This window comes from Homo sapiens, chromosome 1 (assembly GCF_000001405.40).
Source record: "Homo sapiens chromosome 1, GRCh38.p14 Primary Assembly".
Taxonomy (NCBI): Eukaryota; Metazoa; Chordata; class Mammalia; order Primates; family Hominidae; genus Homo; species Homo sapiens.
In genome coordinates, this window is record NC_000001.11 from 61,017,283 (window position 1) to 61,038,248 (window position 20,966).

The window sequence follows — 20,966 nt, forward strand, 5'->3', positions numbered from 1 at the left end:
AAGGCACTAACTAGAACAAGTGAGTGGCCTGAGCATTCACCAAGCAAAAACAAACGTCAGATGAATTAAAATGAGTAGCTTTGGCATTAAGATTCCCTAAGGACAGGTAGGCTAGGCCCCCTCACATCTAAATTTCACATTTTAAGCCAATAAGTAGAAAATAAATCCCCCAATTCTGTTGCTGCCAGTGGTGAACAGCATGTTGTCCTCTAAGCACTCAGTTCATGTTCACACATAATTTTAATTCTGCTTTAACTTCAGATTCATGGATTTTCAATTTATCCAACATCTGGAACACCAAGGGCACTGGGAAAGCCATTCTGGGAGGCTGCCACTTACACAGTGGGACCTCAATAAACATTTGTTGATCAAAAACCCAAAACATGGGGAAAAGGAAGATTTGGAAACTGAAACCAGGTCTTTTGAAGTGGAACATAATTTGAAGGGTTTAACTGTGATATATTGAAAAACATATTTTGCAAGTGAACAATTGGTGAAAATTATCAGCTAAGGTTAGCAAAAGATCCAGGGGAGGAAAGAAGGAAGTCTAGAGTCTTCATGCATGTGAAAGGGACATTTTGGAATTACTTTCATTTTTGTCACAATCACACACATACATACACAATTAGGCAATTCCTAATTACAAGCATCAAAAAATAACGTCAAATAATTCAAGAAGATTCTTTTTAACTCCTATGATTATTATGCCATCAACTATTCCTAACTAGTATTTGTTAGTCAACAAAGGAGAAGTTGTTTTGTAAAATTTTTCTGCAATCCACAAAATGTATTTGGTTTGGTATTTCTGGTTAATTAGTTAGTTCTATGTAAATTGATACATTTCTGGTAATAAAAAGAATATTTCAAAAATAACTTCTTCCCTGGATGACAGAACAACAAATAAACACTGTGCCTTTTTTTTTTTTTTTTTTTTTTGAGACTGAGTTTCGCTTTTGTTTCCCAGGCTGGAGTGCAATGTCACAATCGTGGCTCACCACAACCTCAGCCTCCTGCGTTCAAGCAGTTCTCCTGCCTGAGCATCCCGAGTAGCTGGGATTACAGGCATGTGCCACCAAGCCTGGCTGAATTTTGTATTTTTAGTAGAAATGGGGTTTCTCCATATTGGTCAGGCTGGTCTCGAACTCCCGACCTCAGGTGATCCGCCCACCTTGGCCTCCCAAAGTGCTGGGGTTACAAGCATGAGCCACCGTGCCCAGCCCAACACTGTGCTTCTTGCACTGATTTCTGCCAATAATATGAATTATTTTAGGGCATGTATAGTGGGTTCCACATGTGTTGAATTTAACCCCCTGATTTAGAATGCTTGTCAGAGACTTCTTTGCAGACCACAATGTCATTGTGTCTCCAGGTTTCTTTTAAAATTTACATTTGCTCCTGAGGAAAGGGCAAGGTAAGCAGAACTAAACTAATATTTGTAGAACTTCTCTCTGCACTGGCCCTTCAAGGATATCATCTCACTCAATCCTCATTGCAAACTAGTGAAGGAGCTATTATAATTCTCATTTTATGAGTGAAAGTGTGAACCCCAAAGAGTTTTATACCTTGCCTAAAGTCTTTCAACCAGTAAGTGGCAGAACCAGGATTTGAACCTAGTTTTCTCAGTCATCCATGGCTCTAGTTTAACTTCTAGCTGTCAAAACAATTGAAAAGGATCCACCAAGATAAAACAGAAGTCACTGATGAACTAGAACAGGTGCTGAAGCTATAAGATGGAGCCTGAGAGTCAGCCTTACTCTTTGACTTATGTTAAAGAAACATCACTGAACAATGAATTTCTAGTTCACTCATCTTTAGGAAGAAACCAAGAAAGATTTCAGTCAATCAATAAATACCTAGATGCAGTTAAAAGCTTGGCAGATAATAACAACAACAACCGTAATCATGATAATATGTACTGAGTACTTACTCTATTCAGTCCTTACTCTAAGCACCTGAGAGACGTTAACTCTTCTAATCCTCATGACATCTCTGTGAGGTTGGTACTATTATCATCCCATTTTATAGAGGAGGAGCTGGAGAAATAGTGAGGTCACGAGGTAAGTGACAGAGCTGAGTTATCCCAGGCAGTCCTCTAAACCACACTGCCTCCATAAAGGAGATTCAGGAGCATACAACATCAATAAACAGAACCATGTTAATACAAGAGTGTTTTTTATCCACAGAAATAATGATGCCTGGCATGTTTATAGAACTATGCAATTTATAAAAAGGATTCATGCATTCATCATCCCAACTGATTCTCTTAAAGTAGTCTGGATGTATATATTTTATCCATACTGCACAGGTTCTTTCATTCATTCAATTCAAATATGTATTGAGCACTTCAATTCAACTAGCTTTGGAGAGAGAGCAGTAATCAAAAAGTATCTCACCCTTGCCTTCATAGAGCTTACTGTAGCAGACAGGACATTCTTTAATAAATAATCACATGAGTATGCAATTACAAATGGTACTAAGAACTATGAATGAAAAGTACTGGGAATGCTGAGAGCATATAATAGGGAATGACCTAGTCACACACTCTCAGACTCACTGATAGAACTATCCTGGAAGGTAAGATGTTCCTGAGAAAGCTCATTTGAGCTGAAGTCTAAGGACAATTGAGAATTAATTTAAATGCAACAGTATCAATAAAAGCTTCCTACCATCCTATTTAAAATTGCAAGCATTTTGCATACTCCTTACCCATTTATGTTTTTCTGTATCAATTATCATCTTCTAATGTACTATATAATCTACTTATTTATTATGTTTATTTATGGTCTGATTCCCCCTCAATTAGAATGTAGATGCTATGAGAATTTTTAAATCAGTTGCATTCACTCAAGTGTTCTGCATATACAGCCCCTCGGTAATACTTGTTGAATGAATGAATGAATGAATGAATGAATGAACAAAGAAACCAGTAGAAGGTGTTTGGGGGTGTAGGGGCTAGCAGTCAGATGGGATTTCTCAGTAGACAGGTGCCTTTTTTAAATGTCCTGAGGCAGAAGAGCACATAAAGCTCTTAAAAGAACTCAAGAGGCCCGGTACAGTGGCTCATGCCTATAATCCCAGCATTTTGGGAGGCCAAGGCGGGTGGATTGCTTGAGCCCAGGAGTTCAAGACCAGCCTGGCCAACATGTTGAAACCCTGTCTCTACTAAAAATACAAAAATTAGCTGGGCATGATGGCATGCACCTGTGGTCCCAGCTACTTGGGAAGCTGAGGCAGGAGAATCACTTGAACCCGGGAGGCAGAGGTTGCAGTGAGCCGAGATCATGCCACTGCACCCAACCTGGTGACAGAGTAAGACTCTGTCTCAAAAAATATATATACAAAAATTAGCCTGGCATAGTGGCACATGCCCATGGTCCCAGGTACTCAGGAGGCTGAAGAGGGAGAATCACTTGAGCCTGGGAGATGGAGGTTGCAGTGAGCCAAGATTACACCACTGCACTCCAGACTGGGCAATAGAGCGAGACTTTATCTCAATAAAATAAAATAATAGAGGAACTCAAGAAGACCAGTGTGTCTGGAGTGTAGAGAACAGAACAAGTGGGAAAGTGGCAGGAGATGAGATGGACAGGAAAGCTTGGGCCCTTTGCTGAAGAAATGGAAAGTCAGGGTGGACAATCCAAAAAAAGGAGGCATGATTTGGACTCCAAGTTAGATATAGCCAACTCTGTCATCTCTCACACTTCTCCAAGAGGTGTGCATTCTCCATAACAGGGAAATATAGAATACTCCAATTGGAGAAATATTTAATACATTTTTTAAAGATGGTCACTTAACATGCTTGAGGCAGAAGAGCCTGATGGGTATGGTTGATTTATGAGTATCTGGATATTGATGCAGGGGGTGTCAAAGTGCATTAATTTTGTAGAGTTTCCTAATTCTAGTTTGTTAAAACATAATATTTAAAAAGTGGTATCCTAGATCATTTACTGTCTCAGCTAGGGATAATTGATATTGTGGCAGATAGCCAGCATTGTTGGCAGAAAGAGAATCTTACAGGAGGCCAGCAACATCAGACATTCCAGGACCCACTGATAGATTTCTACCTGCCAGCCCCAAAGCATCTTTGTCCTCTTACAGGAAAGAGCAAAGTGTTCCTTAGCCAGGCGGGTGGATGGTGCTCTCCTTTATGTCCCTGCTTGAGGCTCAGGAGAGAGAGGTTTGTGTCTTTTAATTAAAACAGATCTTTGTCAAACTAGTGTTTTGACTCAAAGCTTATTTAATAGACTCCCAGACTATGCCTAACATGTGGTAAGAGTCATGAAACCGTGTGGCACGGTATTACAGAAGGTGCTTTGGGCTTGCTTCTGTCAAACAAATTAAATGCCTGCACTTCATACACTTTACAAGGCCAAATTAAACACTCATCAAAGAGGAGATGCCTTTTAATGTGCAGTGCCTGCAGCCTCCTTGACACTAGCTAGCTTGCTCCACAAATCCCAGGCTGTCTCGGCTAAATACAGGACAATGGCATTTTCTCTCCTGAGCTGTCGTTTCCAAGATTTAGGTCTTCCCTACAAGGATACTTCTTTTTCCAGCAATTCTGAAATTCTAGTTAGCACCTAGAAGATGTTAGCTACCCTTTTGTTCTTCTTCTTCTTCTTCTCCTTCTCCTTCTTCCTCACGGAGTCTTGCTCTGTCACCCAGACTGCAGTGCAGTGGCACAATCTCACTTCACTGCAACCTCTGCCTCCCAGATTCAAGCGATTCTCATGCCTCTGCCTCCCAAGTAGCTGGGATTATAGGCACCTTCCACCACGCCAGGCTAATTTTTTTGTATTTTTAGTAAAAACCGGGTTTTACCATGTTGGCCAGTCTGGTCTCGAACTCCTGACCTCAGGCAATCTGCCCACCTCAGCCTCCCAAAGTGCTGGGATTACAGGTGTGAGCCACCGCACCTGGCCAAGGTAGTTCATTCTTGCAAATAAACATTGTTGAAAGTGTCAGTTATCCATCTTTCCTAGAAAGTATTAATATTTCATAGTAAATTAAATGAGACCAGCATGCCAGAAGCCCTTCCCAGACTGTTCACAAATTGAGGCTGTGATAATTAAAATGTGATTCCATTTTCTGACATGGACACTGCTACTAATTCTTTGGTTTCTATAAACTAGAACTAGCTAGCACACCATTTAAATTAAAATCTAGACTAAACCTTACATAAGCATGCCAGGTTGTGCTTTTGCCAGTCATGTATTGACCTGGGAAATGCTTTGATAAAGTACTACCTTGCTCTAAGTTATTTCTTTGTATTCCAGCTTTCTATTCATTCTGGAATTTTACATTCCAAAGGCTAAAAGAGACCTTGAAAAATCATCTAGACAAGGAATTCTCAAATATAAGTCAGCTAAACAAATGCATTAGAATGACCTGAAGCACTTACTAAAAATACACGTTTCCAGACTTCACCTCAGACCTACTGAAACAGAAGCTCTGGTTGTGGAATGTAGGGACCACATTAGGAATAAGTTTCTCAGCCAGTGCAATGGCTCATGCCTGTAATCCCAACACTTCAGGAGGCCGAGGCGGGAGGATCACTTGAGGCCAAGGAGTTCGAGACCAACCTGGCCAACAAGGCTAAACCCCGTCTCTACTAAAAATACAAAAATTAGCTGGGTGTGGTGTCACACACCTGTAATCCCAGCTACTCAGGAGGCTGAGGCATGAGAATCATTTAAACCCGGGAGGCAGAGGTTGCAGTGAGCCAAGATAGTGCCACTGAACTCCAGCCTGGGCAAAGGAGCAAGACTCGATCTTGGAAAAAAAAAAGTTCCTCAAGAGAGTTTAGATCCTTCCTCACCATGTTTGAGAACCAGTCCTAATCTCCGTCTTACCCCCAGTCAAAGATAATATATAAGCCCACTTGGCTGATGAGCCCTTACATAGAGATACAATAAACAGTCCTCCATTTTTTTTTTTGAAATGGAGTCTTGCTGTCTTGCCCAGGCTGGAGTGCAATGGTGGGATGTTAGCTCACTGCAAGCCCTGCCACCCAGGTTCAAGAGATTCTCCTGCCTCAGCCTCCTGAGTTGCTGGGATTACAGGAGTGTGCCAACATGCCTGCTAATTTTTGTATTTTTAATAGAGACGGGGTTTCACCATCAAACTCCTGGCCTCGTGATCTACCCGCCTCAGCTTCCCAAAGTGCTGGGATTACAGGCATGAGCCACCACACCGGGCCCTCCCTTTTAAATTACTATTTAGGAATAGAGAAAGGCCTCAAGCTGCTTGCATTAATTTCACATCTTCATTCTATTATCTGGGTTAGGTAGGGCATTGTGTTTCAAGAAAGAGTAATTCAACCTTTAAGTCAGTACCCAAAGGGTTCAAATCCAGTAGTGGGCTATAGTGTCTGGAGATTCCCAGTGAGATAAGAATCATCGCCAAGCATGTGACGCATCCACTCGGAGCAGGACTCCAGCAGGTAGCTTCTCTAACAGGAAACAAGTCCCAGACAATGAGGCGAGCAGGCCAACCAAAGTTGGGTGAGAGATGGAGTGCAACTCAAGCAATTATAATAATGGCTAGCTTTTATATAAGGCTTACTATGTGCCAAGCACTGTTCTAAGCACTTCCATGTATTAAATAATTTAATCCCGAAGTGGACCTTTTACATAGCCACTATTATGAACCCCTTTCACAAATGAGGAAACCAAAGAAGCACAGAAGGATTAAGTAACTTGCCCAAGGTCACACAGCTAGTAAGGAGCTGAGCTGGGATTCAGCCTCCAGCAGGGTGGCTCTAGAATACACATCTTTAATCATTAAGCCATATTGCTTCTCCAGCAGGCTGATGATTAGTATAGTGTTGTGCTCAACAGGGGAAGTGAAGCACAATAGAAAAGACCATCAGAAGCCTTAATATATGCACAAGGCCGGTCATTAAAAGAAAATTGCATCTTGGTGAACACCAGAACACTTCAAGCACAATGAATCCCACACCTTATAACAGCAAGGCCAATTCTAGACCAACCTCAACCACAGGATGGAGTAGGGGATGCTCCTGCTGTCCCTGCTCTAGCAGGGATGATGGGGTCAGGAAAGGATGGGGTTGGACATTGTCTTCTCAGCTTAGGCTGCCACAACAAAATACCATAGACTGGGGGACTTAAAAAAACAGAAACGTAGGCTGGGTGCAGTGGCTCACACCTGTAATCCCAGCAACTCAGGAGGCTGAGGCAGGAGAATCACTGGAACCTGGGAGGTGGAGGTTGCAGTGAGCCAAGATCGCACCATTGCACTCCAGCCTGGGCGACAGAGTGAGACTCCATCTCAAAAAAAAAAAAAAAATAGGAATGTATCTTCTGACAGTTCTGGAGGCTGGAAGTCTGAGATCAGGGTGCTAGTGTGGTTAGGTTCTGGTAAGGTCTCTCTTTCTGGCTTGCAGACGGCCTTCTTCTTGCTATGTCTTCACATGGTTTTCCTTTGGCATATGCACATGGGGAGATAGCAATATCTCTCACTCTTCCTCTTCTTATAAGGCCACCGATCCTCTCAAAGTAGGGCCTCATCTCACCTTAATCATCTCCTAAAAGCCCTATCTCCAAATACAGCAACATTGTAGGTCAGGGATTCCATATACAAATTTGAAAGGGGAAGCATTTCATTCCAGAGCAGGAATTTAGCTATAATGAGCATCCAATAATCTAAAAAATGTAAACTCATAGAAGCAGAAGAATGATGGTTACCAGGGGTTTTGCAGGGGTTACGGGGGAAGGAGGAGATTGGGAAGATGTTGGTGAAAGGATACAAAATTTCAGTTAGACAGGAGGAATAGGTTCGAGAAAACTTGTTCTTTGTGCATCCTGGTGACTATAGTTAATAAAAGTGTATTGTATTCTTGAAAAGCTCTAAGTAGATGTTAAGTATTCTCACCACACACAATATATTAAAGTATGTGAGGTAATGCATATGTTAATTAATTAGATTTAGTCATTTCAGAGTGTATACATATTTCAAAACAGTATGCTGTACACCATATGTATATACAAGTTTTACTTGTCAATTTTGAAAGAAAGAAAAAAGAGAGAAAGAAAGAAAGAGAGGAAAGAAAGAAAGAAAGAAAGAAAAAGAAAGGAAGGAAGGAGAGAGAGAAGAAAGAAAAAAGGAAGGAAAGAAAGAGAGAGAAAGAAAAAGAAAGAAAGAAAGAGAAAGAAAGAAAAGAAAGAAAGAAAGAAAGAAAGAAAGAAAGAAAGAAAGAAAGAAAGAAAGAAAGAAAGAAAGAAAGAGGAAATCTGTATGATGTGCAGGTTGCATTTGACTAAGCTCCTGGGGGAACAACCTCACCGTCCTCTGCTTAGGGTCAATGAGGCTGCATCAGGCTTCCTCTCTCTCTTTCTGGAAACATGTTTGATGGGGGAAGAAGAAAATGGCTTGTGATACAGTACCAAAGGAGCAGGCTGGGGATACCTGAGAGCAGCATTCTAGAACTCAGATGTGTCCAGGGGTCTGGCAGGTAACAAAAGCCTGAAGCCGACCTAGTATGGTGAGATTGGAGTGGGCAAGTCTCATCTTCAGAGGCAGCTCCCCGGCAGCTCCAGCCCACTGTCTCCAAGAGGAATGCAGGGTCAGTGAAGACATCCTTTTGTTTTGTTTTGTTTTTTTTCTTTGAGACTGTGTCTCGCTCTGTCACTCAGGCTGCACTGCAGTGGCACGATCTGGGCTCAGGGCAGCCTCAACCTCCCGGGCTCAAGCAATTCTCCTGCTTCAGTGCCCCAAGTAGCTGGGACTACAGGCACACCCCACCAGGCCTGGCTTGTTTTTTTGAATTTCAGTGGCCAGGACTGAATGGTGCACCAGAACGCCCAACCAATTTTTTACTTTTTGTTGAGATGGGGTCCCTCTATGTTCCCCAGGCTGGCCTCAAACTCCTGAGTTCAAGCAATCCTCCCACCTTAGCCTCCCAAAGTGTGAGCCACAGTGCCCAGCCTTTATTTTCTGAAAAGCAAAAATTCCGGAGTTTTATGTAAAATCTCCCCCATCTTCCAATGTCTTCCTTTAAAAGATACGTGGCCTAAGAAGAATCTCATTCTTTATAAGCCTCAGTTTCCTCACCAGTAAAATGAAGATTATAGATATATGAATCTCATAGGATTTTTTAGAGTATCAAATAAAATAGGGTATATAAAAATGCTTTGTAGGCCAGGTACAGTGGCTCATGCCTATAATCCCAACACTGGGAGACTGAGGCGGGTGGATCACTTGAGGCCAGGAGTTTGAGACCAGCTTGGCCAGCATTTTGAAACCCCCATCTCTACTAAAAATAGAAAAAATTAGCCAGGCGTGGTGGCACGTGCCTATAATCCCAGCTACTCGGGAGGCTGAGGCACAAGAATTGCTTGAACCTGGGAGGCAGAGGTTGCAGTAAGCCAAGATCGTGCCACTGCACTCAAGCCTGGGCAACAGAGCAAGACTCTTGTCTCAAAAAAAAAAAATGCTTTGTAAACTATGAAGTGCTATATACTGTGAACAGAGACACCCATGAAAAGCAAGTTCTCTCCAGTGGTAGTATGATATATTTAATAACGAGGCGTCACACCCCTGTAGAGTCTGCACAAGAGCCAGAGGGACCTTTTAAAAATATAAATCAGATTTTACCCTCTCTGGCTTAAAACTCTCCAACCAATTCCCATCTAAAAATAAAATCAGATGTTTCTCTGGCTTCCAAAGCTGTGCATGATCTGGGAACTGTTAACCTGTCTGACCTGATGCTGCACTCTGCCTTCATGTAGCACACTCCAGCCACAATGCCCTTGTTTCTGCTCCTTACCTACAACAGGCTCATTCTCCTCTTAGGGCCTTGGCACTAGACAACTGGTTAGCTGGAACCCTGACCTTCTGCATGGTGGTTTCATTCTTATCATTCAGCTCTCAGGTTAACATCACCATCTGAGAGATGCTCCAGTCCAGAAAAGCCACTGGTCACTCTCAGCAATAGCACCCTGTTTATTTCTTGACAAGCCTGTCTCACTGATATGTTTTTCAATTTTTATTGGTTTGCTTATTTCAAAAATGTATCCTCCCACTAGTTATAAGCTTCAAGAAAAAGAGACTTATTTAATCTTATTTACCACTGTATCTGCCAGCCTCTGAAACCAAGACTGCTACATGGGAGGAATTAGTAAATATTCATTGAAAGAATAACCTTAAAATTGATATTATAGTAGAAAGTTTAGCAGAGAAGTAGAAAAGTATTGGACTGGAACCAGTGCAGTTTCCTGGGCTCTGCTCCAGGTTCAATGAATCTGAATCTCTAGAAATATGGCACAGGTATCTGGATTGGCCCAGGTATCAGATGGGTGATTCTGATGTAAGTGACTTCAGAACACACTTTCAAAAAACAACAGGCTGGGTGTGGTGGCTCACACCTGTAATCCCAACACTGGGAGGCAGAGACTGGCAGATTGCTTTAGGCCAGGAGTTCAAGACCAGCCTGGGCAACATGGCGAGATCCTGTGTCTACAAAAAAGACAAAAATTAGCTGGACATGCTGGTGCGGGCCTGTGGTCCCAGCTACTTGGGAGGCTGAGGTGGGAGAATCACTTGAACCTGGGAGGCAGAAGTTGCAGTGAGCCGAGATCATGCCAATGCACTCCAGCCTGGGTGACAGAGTAAGACCTCGTCTCAAAAACCAAAAATCAAAACAAACAAACAAACAAAAAACCCACTGGATTTAGAAGCCAAAGACTGATTTGCACATTCTGTTTATTTCACAGGGTTTTCATGGGGACTTAAGATAATGGCTGATAAATTTCTTTGCGTATGCCCAGCCTTACATAAATACAAAGCCAAAGAGCTATTTTTCCATAGCCTGTCAGGGGCCTGCAATATGTGCATTCAGGGGAGAGAAACTTTCTGTGCTCTGAGGCAGCTCCGTTCACTATGGAGGCCTTCCTTTCACGGAGGCGAGCAAATCCGCTCCCTCTTCCACATGACATGTCTTCAAGGATTGAAGACAACCAGACTGGCTGCCTTTAGCATTTCTGGCTCTTTAGCCATTCTTAAGCCATGGTAACCTGGATATATTTCAGTTTGTTCAGCCAGTTTTAGAGTATAGATTTTTATAATTTAATAAAACATTCCATTATGGTCTGTTTAACATAGTTACCATGGTATCATTACATGGTAACTATGTATAATGAATATTATAAAAAATAACTATGACTGTAGTCTCAGGGTCAAACATTCAGGAATTTGAGTTTTTTCTCAGCTCAATAAAAATGAAGCATACTCTTGAGGAAAGAACCATTTGTAGAATTTCACAAAAGACTGGTGTAGAAACTAAAAAGTCCAGTGTATCAATCTACAGTGAAGAAAACCATAATAATAACTAACATGTATTTAAACCCTGACTAATGGCCAAGCACCATCACACATCATCTTATTTAATACTCACTACTCCATAAGTAGGGATCATGATTCTCCCCATAGTATAGGTGAGAACTGTCGAAGCATTGGTAACTTCCTCAAAAATCACATAATTAGTATTTTGCAAACTTCGTTTTAAAGCGTGACCCCAAGGCCATGTACCTACCCATCGACTGTGTACTTACCTACTGGCCATGTACTTATCCTCTGACACCATACCAATTGGTCCACTTTGGCTCCTCACTTTCTGTTTTTTATTTTTTATTTTATTTATTTATTTATTTATTTATTTATTTATTTATTTATTTTGAGACGGAGTCTCGCTCTGTCACCCAAGCTGGAGTGCAGTGGCGCGATCTCGGCTCACTGGAAGCTCCCCCTCCCGGGTTCACGCCATTCTCCTGCCTCAGCCTCCCAAGTAGCTGGGACTACAGGCGCCCGCCTTCACGCCCAGCTAATTTTTTTTTTTTTAAGTAGAGACGGGGTTTCACTGTGTTAGCCAAGATGGTCTCGATCTCCTGACCTCGTGACCCACCCGCCTCGGCCGCCTAAAGCTCTGGGATTACAGGTGTGAGCCACCGCGTCCAGCCTGGCTCCTCATTTTCTATGTTTCTTGCTAACCATCCATTTACCTTTGGACTGACACCTTCTATTTTTAGACATAATATCACTGATTATTCCACAATCAAATTCCATTTGCATTTCCAGTTTCACCCTTGAAGTTACTTTTGTATAGACCTAATCCCATCCATTATGTATGTTGATTTTGTAATTTTAGTCTTGGAGTTTTTTGGGGAGGGTTCCTTGCTGATGTCTGTAACTTCCTTCAATGATCAATTAAAACACTTAAATATTTTTCCAGCTTACTTACATAAAGCTAGGCTTCTATAATTGTGCCATTGATTTTTTTTTTCAATCTAAACACAAAACTTTGCATATATCCCTGTGGGATACTATCTTGTGATTTTTGGACAAATATTCTAGCTCGTCAAGATTATTTTAAATCTTGATTCTATCATCTGCGGTATTAGCTATTCCTTCCGGCTCTCTGTCATCTGTAGGTTTTGTTAAATGAAACATCTATTCCTCATGCAAATAATTGATAGAAATATTGAACTGCACAAAGCCAAGTATAGAGAAACTCACAGGAGGAATTAAAAAAAAAAGAAGAAGAAGAAGTATGGGCCAGGCGCAATAGCTCATGCCTGTAATCCCAGCACTTTGGGAGGCCGAGGTGGGTCGATCACCTGAGATCAGGAGTTCAAGACCAACCTGACCAATATGGTGAAACCCTGTCTCTACTAAGAATACAAAAATTAGCCGGGCGTGGTGGCAGGTGCCTGTAGTCCCAGCTACTTAGGAGGCTAAGGCGGGAGAATCACTTGAACCCAGGAGGCGGAGGCTGCAGTGAGCTGAGATCGCACCACTGCACTCCAGCCTGGGCAACAGAGGGGAGACTCCATCTCAAAACACTCCAGCCTGGGCAACAGAGCAAGACTCCATCTCAAAACACTCCAGCCTGGGCAACAGAGTGAGACTCCATCTCAAAAAAAAAAAAAAAAAGTATGGTACTGAACTAAGCATGAGAATGTGAATCTAGTCACTAGAAGTGATCCCAGATGCACTATGGAAAAGAGTGATTTCCTACCCTTCTCAGATACTCTTCGTGATGCTACATGCAGACAAATGCACCAGTGTCATTATCAACCCTTTAATGTACTTCCTTATCTCCTATAATACATTACCTCAATAGTCAACAAATATTGATTACTTACCATGTAAAAATCATTGTGCATATGTGCTGGGGTTACAGAATTGAGGAAAAAAATTAAACTAATCACCATAGTGTGATAAATGCTATTTGAAAATAAGTGATATGGGAGACCATGAGGGAGACACATAAATATGCTTGACAAGAGATCAAGAAAGCCTTCTTAAAGGAGGTGGTGCATGGGTTAAATTTGAACATGAAGTGTAGACTGACCAAACAAGGAGTTGGAAGTGGAAAGGTTGTCAGGCACCAAGGTCATAATGGGCCCCTAAGCCATGTTAAAAGACTGGGGTTTACATTTAAAAGAGTAAAAGCTTTGGGCCTGGCAAGATGGCTCATGTCTGTAATCCCAGAACTTTGGGAGGCTGTGGCGGGAGGATCGCTTGAGTCCAGGAGTTTCAGACCAGCCTGGGAAGCATGGTAAAACCCCGTCTCTACAAAACATAGAAAAATTAGCCGGGTGTGGTGGCGCATGCCAGTGGGGTTCCAGCTACTCAGGAGGCTGAAGCAAGAGGATCACCTGAGCCCAGAGTTCAAGGCTGCAGTGAGCTGTGATCATACCACTGCACTGCAGCCTGGGTGACGGACTGAGACCTTGTCTAAAAAAAAGAAAAAATTTAATTAAAGTTTTAATTAAGGACTCTGTCCATGAAGTGTTCTCTATCTACTTACACTTTTGTCAATTCCTCCTGCCTTGAAAATCCTACAGTAGTTTTTTTCCATCCCACTCAGGTCCTGTATTTTTACCTCATTAATGTGAATATGGATCTTACATCCCTGAATTTCATGGAATGGCATCCAGACTGGGAATATGTCTCATATTCTCACTATATCCATTTGTATCATCTTGCACAGTTCCAGGCACCAGGACAGTGAACAAATTCTTGATGAATTGAATAGCAGCAATGGCAATGAATGGCAAACAGTAGTAGTAGGGGATCAGACAGGAGGGTGACAGCCAGGAAAAATGGCACACATGCCTGAGGGAGCCTGAGACTGACAGGTAAACTCTGTAAGGGCAGGGATCATATTTGTGCTGTTCCTTCTTTGTTCCAAGTGACCAGAAGAGTTGTATCATTTTTTATGTTCAGTCTTACTTTCCAAGGACAGATTATCCCTCAGGAGTTCTTTGTTTAGGTTCCTGCATCTAGGGCTGATGTTGATTTTATGCACAATTTCTTTATCCATGTCAATGTCAAGATATAGTGAGTTTTGGAGAGTATGCAGCGCTGGGTTCAAAAACTAGTCTGACTCCATGCCTTCTTCTGTTTTTGAGACAGGGTCTCACTCTTTCACCCAGGCTGGAGAGCAGTGGCGCGATCACGGCTCACTGCAGCCTCAATCTCCCGAGGCTCAAGGGATCCTCCCACCTCAGCCTCCTAAGTAGCTGGGACCACAGGCGTGCACCACCACACCTGGCTAATTTTTGAATTTTTAGTAGAGACAGGGTTTTACCATGTTGCCCAGGCTGGTCTCAAACCCCTGAGCTCAAGTGATCCATCCGCCTCGGCCTCCCAAAGTGTTGGGATTACAGGCGTGAGCCACCGCACCTTCCCCTGACCCTTTAACTTTATTTAACCAGTCAGAATATGTAGAAAAGGGACGGAGAATAGATTGCAACTTCCATGATGAGTCAGTCAGATTGATTGAGAATGGCGTACTGGGCCTTTGGAAAGCATGTCACAATGTAATTGGTGATGTCTGTTGGCCATAAAAGAAGTGTTGAGTGGAACTCACAAGGGCCGTGCATATGTTGCCTCTTATAACTATTGCCATTAATGTGGGCAAAAATGTTTTTCTGAAAGTTGGCACAATCTAAATGTGCCACCTTATAAACTGTACGCAGGTGGCTCCAGCCTTTAACCTTTGTATTATGAAATAAAATATGTATACCTAAAACATATTACTAAACAAAAATATATAAGGTATGCAAACAAAAATATGCAGCTCAACAATTTGTTCAAAGTGAACGTGTGTGATACCACCACCCAGGTCAAGAAACAGAACATGATCAGCATCTTAGAAACTCCTCCCTTTAGTTCCCTCCAAACATTACCTACCATGATTTTGACTTTCATGAATACTATGTTCTTGCTTTCCTTTATAATTTTATCACCTACAGACGTACCCATAAGCAGCACAGTTTGGTTTTGCATTGGTTTTTTCTTTCTTTTTTTTTTCTTTTTTTTTTTTTGGTACTTTATATGAATTGAATCACATACTACACATTCTTCTGTATTGGGCTTCTTTTAATCAATATTATGTTTGTGAGACTGATCCATTCTGCTGCAAGTAGTTATAGCTATAGCTTTAGCTTATTCTTTTTTTTTTTTTCTTTTCTTTTCTTTTCTTTAGAGACAGAGTCTTGCTGTGTCACACACAGGCTGAAGTGCAGTAGCACTATCATAGCACATTGCAGCCTTGAATTCCTGGGCTCAAACGATCTTCCTGTCTCAGCCTCTCAAGTAGCTGGGACTACAGGCATGTGTCACCATGCCCAGTTCATTATTTAAAATTTTTTGCAGAGACAGCATCTTAATATGTTGACCAGGTCTGAACTCAGCCTCAAACAATCCTCCTGCCTAGGCCTCCCAAAGCATAGAGGCATGAGCCACAGCGCCCAGCCCTTATTCATTTTTCACTGTTGTGAATTATTACAAAGTGGGAACATATGACCACTTAATTTATCTAGTCCACAGATGATGGACACTTGGATGGTTCCCAATCTCTAACTAGTTTGAATAATGTTGCTATGAACTTTCGCATTTTTGGAGCACATATTTCTGTTGGATCTATACCTAGAGACTAATTTCCAGGTCACAAGGTATTCTTATGTTCAACATTAGCAGATAGGGCCAAACTGTTTTCCAAAGTAGTTGCATCAATTTCACATCTACCAGCAATGTACGAGAATGTCAATTACTCCACATGCACACCAACGGTTGGTGTTTCTCAGTCTATTGATTTTAACCCTTCTGGCATGTGTGCGATATTTTATGTAGTTTTTAATTTATTATTCCCTGATGGCTAATGGGCATCTTTTATTTATTTTACCATTTGCATATATATATATATATGTATGCATATATGTATATATATATATATATTTTTTTTGAGACAGGGTCTCACTCTGTCACCCAGCCTGGAGTGCAATGGCATGATCTCGGCTCATTGCAACCTCCACATCCCAGATTCAAGCGATTATCCTGCCTCCACCTCCCGAGTAGCTGGGATTACAGGGGCCTGCCACTGCGCCTGGTTAATTTTTGTATTTTTAGTAAAGAAGGGGTTTCATCATGTTGGCCAAGCTGGTCTCGAACTCCTGACCTCAGGTGATGCGCCCACCTTCGCCTCCCAAAGTTCTGGGATTACAGGTGTGAGCCACCGTGCCTGGCCTTGAATATCTTCTTTTGCGAAGTCCCTGTTCAAGTCTCTTGCCTGTCTACCAGATTTGTCATTTTGTATTTTTTTTAATGATAAGAGTTATTTTTATCTATTCTGGACATAGGCTTTATCAGTTAAGTATTTTACAAATACCTTCTCCTGTTTGATGGCTTCCTTTACACTCTCCGAATGGTGTCTTCAGAGGAAAAGAAGCTCTTAATTTTATGTAATCCACTGCATCAATATTTCTCTTGAGATTTTGTGCTTCATTTCATTCACTTTAAGAAAAATTTCCCTATCCCAAGGTTGTGAATATATTATGCTATACTATCTTCTAGAAGCTTCATTGTTTTATCCTTCACTTTTAGGTCTACAGTGACCTGGAATGAGTGAATGAATTTGTTTATGTTTAGTCTGGTGTGAGGCAGTAAGTCATTTAATTTTTTTAATCAGGATAGCCAACTGACCCAGTTTTGGAAAAGTCTCTTTAGAAACAACATCTCGCTTTGAATCAAGTGCTATATGTGCATGGGTCTCTTACTGGAATTCCTATTTTAACTTTGTATTCAGGTGGCAATACTACACTGATTTCTGCAGTCTTCATATGCAATGGAGCAAACCCTCCCAGTATTCTTCATCAAGTACCTTGTCTATTCTTGGCCATTTGCACTAACATGTACATTTAGAATAATCTTTCCAAGTTCCATTTTAAAATTCCAGTTGGGGTTTTCATTGGGAATACATTAAACTTATAGATCATTTTGGAGAGAAAGAACATATTTATAATATTGTATTGTCCAACTTTAACACGGTATATGCCTTTTTAATTTAGGTATTTTAACATAATATTGTTATGTTCTTGCACATGTTTTCTGAGGTTTATTACTGGGTATTTCAAAATTTTGATGTTATTTTAAAAGATTACTTTTATTTATTTATTTATTTATTTATTTTTGTTTGTTTGTTTTTGTTTTTTGAGACAGAGTCTCACTCTGTAACCCAGGCTGGAGTGCAGTGGCACAATCTCAGCTCACTGCAACCTCTGCCTCCTGGACTCAAGGGGTTCTCCTGCCTCAGCCCCCTGAGTAGCTAGGATTACAGGTGTGCGTCACCATCTACGGCTAATTTTTGTATTTTTAGTAGAGACAGTGTTTCGCCATGTTGGCCAGGCTGGTCTCGAACTCCTGGCCTCAAGTGATCCGCCCACCTTGGCCTCCCAAAGTGCTGGGATTACAGGTGTGAGCCACTGCACTCAGCCGAAAGATTACTTTTAAATTTCTATTTTATTACTGTTCAAGGCTGGAATATAGAAATACAATGTTTTCACATATTGCTCTTGTATCCAGTGATCTGCTAAACTCAATTAAGAATTCTAATAATTAATAGGTATTCTGGATTTTCTATATTCCCCATCATATCATATATAAATAATGAGAGTTCATTTTTTCCTTTCCAATCTTTATGCAGTAATGTACCGCATAACAATATTTTGGTCAATAACAGACTGCATATACAACAGTGGTCCAATAAGATTATAAGGAAAGCAGGGCCTAATGGCACACACCTGTAGTTCTGGCTACTCTGGAGCAGATGCTGAAAGATTGCTTGAGCCCAAGAGTTCAAGGCTGCAGCGAGCTATGATTGCACCACTGCACTCCAACCTAGGCAACAGAGTGAGACCCCATCTCTAAAAAAAAATTTTAATTTTAATTTTAAAAGATTATAATGAGGCCGGGCACGGTGGCTCATGCCTGTAAATCCAGCACGTTGGGAGGCCAAGGCAGGCGGATCATGAGGTCAGGAGTTCAAGACCAGCCTGGCCAACATGGTGAAACCCCATCTCTACTAAAAATACAAAAATTAACTGGGCATAGTGGCGCGTGCCTGTAATTCCAGCTACTTGGGAGGTTGAGGCAGGAAAATCGCTTGAACCCAGGAGGCGGAGGTTGCAGTGAGCCAAGACTGCGCCACTGCACTCCAGCCTGGTGACAAAGCGAGACTCCATCTCAAAAAAAAAAAAAAATTATAATGGAGCTGAAAAATTCTTATCACCTAATGACTTCATAGTCATCTCAAAGTCATGGCCCAATGCATTACCTTCTCTATATTTAGTACACAAAAAATATGTACCATTATGTTACAATTGCCTACAGTATTCAGTACAGTAACATGCTGTACAGGTTTCAGCAAGAACAATGGGCTATACCATATAGCATAGGTGTGAAGCAGGCTATACCATCTACATTTGTGTAAGTACACTTTATGATGTTCACACAATGACACAATCATCTAATGCTGTGTTTCTCAGAATGCATTCCCATCATTAAGTGACACATGACAGTACATTTATTTCTCTTGTTGCCTTGCTGCAATCACTAACTAGGATCAGTACAATATTGAGTAGAAATGTTGATAATAGACATCCTTATGATGTTCCCACTTCTAAAGCTTTTAACATTTTACCACCAAGTGTGATGTTTGCTGTTGGATTTTTGTAGCTACTTTTTTCAGAATAAGTAAATTCCTTTGTATTGCAAGTTTGCTAAGATGTTTTTAATCAAAAATAGGTGTTGAATCTCATTAGATGCTTTTTCTGCATATATTTAGGTGATCATATAATTTGTCTCTTTTATTTAATTTATGCAGTATGTTGGTTGAGTTTTGAATGTCCAACCAACCTTGAATTCCTGGATTAAACCCAAATTGGTCATGATTTATTATCCTTTTTCATATATTGCTAAATTTTTTGCTAATTTCTTAAAGTTTTTATGTCTATCTTCATAAGAGAGATTGGTTTATGATTTTCTTAAACTGTACTTATGAAGTTTTGGTATTAAGGTTATTCTGGCTTCATAGGGTATTACTGTCCCTTTTTCTACTCTGAAAAAAATTTTCAGAAGATTGGCATTATCTCATCTTTAAATGATAGAATTTGCTGGAAAAGCCATTTAGTTCCAGATTTTCTTCATTAAAAGGTTTTAAATCATGGGCTGGTAGTGGTGACTCACACCTGTAATCCCAGCACTTTAGGAGGCCAAGGCAGACAGATAGTTTGAGCCCAGGAGTTCAAGATCAGCTTGGGCAACATGGCGAAACTATCTCTACAAAAAAATACAAATATTAGCTGGGCATGGTGGCATGTACCTGGAGTCCCAGCTACTTGGGAGACTGAGGTGGGAGGATCACCTGAGCCCAAGAGGTCAAGGCTGTAGTGAGACATGGTCGCAACACTTCACTCCAGCCAGGGCAACAGAGTGACACTCTGCCTCAGAAAAACTAAGTAAATAAATAAAAGTTTTTAAATTATAGATTCAATTTATCTAATAATTATCAAATCATTTATATTTTTTCTTTCTACTATATCCATTTTGGAAAGCTTCATTTTTCAGCAAATTTGTCTATTTTATGTAAATTTTCAAATATATTTGCTTAGTTATTTATACTATCCTTTCATTAAATTTTTTAATGTGTGTAATATTTGTAATCATGACCATTTTTTGTGACATTAGATGTGTTTTCTGTTTTCTTTGCTTTCCCTTTTTCATGTTTTTTCCATGAGAGATTTATCAATTCTATTAGCCTTTTCAAATAAACTTTTGGATTTATTGATCCTCTCTATTCTGTTTTCTATTTCATTTGTTTCTGCTTTTATCTTTATTATTTCCTATCTTCTATTTTATTTGTTTAATTTGCAGCTCTGTCTCTAAATGTTCGAAATGGATGGTTAACACATTGATTGACAGCCTTTCTCTTTTTCTAATATACATCTTTGAAGCTATAGATCTTTCTCTAAGAATGACTTTAGCTGTATTACACTAGTTTTGATACATATTTTCAATTTTTTAGTTTAAATTATTTTTTAATTCTCATTGTCATTTCTTCTTTGAACTATGGGACTATAGAACAATATTTATTAATTTTCAGATAGTTGAGGATTTCCCATTCTGTTTTTGCTACTGATTTTTAGCTTAATTGCTTGAAATAAAAATTTTTGAAAAGTTTTAGAAACTTTCTTTATGGTCTATTAAGTTTTCCATGTGCTTGGAAAAAAATGTGTATTTTGGGATTTTTGTGTGCTTTATTTTACACATGTCCATTAATTTAAATGTGATTATAATGCATTTTAATCTGCTATATTCTTACTAATTTTTGGTCTGTGGATTCTCTTAGGTACTGTAAGTGATTATTAAAATTTCCCATTATACTATTTATTAGTCTATCTCACCTTTCAGTTTTGTCAATTCTTGCCTTATATATTTTTGTACTGTTATTAGGTACATTACAATTTCCTATGAATTAAATCTTTTTTCAGTGCAAAGTCTCTCTTCATCTCTAGTAATGCTTTACAATATGTATAACTATAGCAGTTGTGTTTTGGCTACTATTATGTATTTTTTTTTTATTTTTCTTCAACTTTTCTGTATTT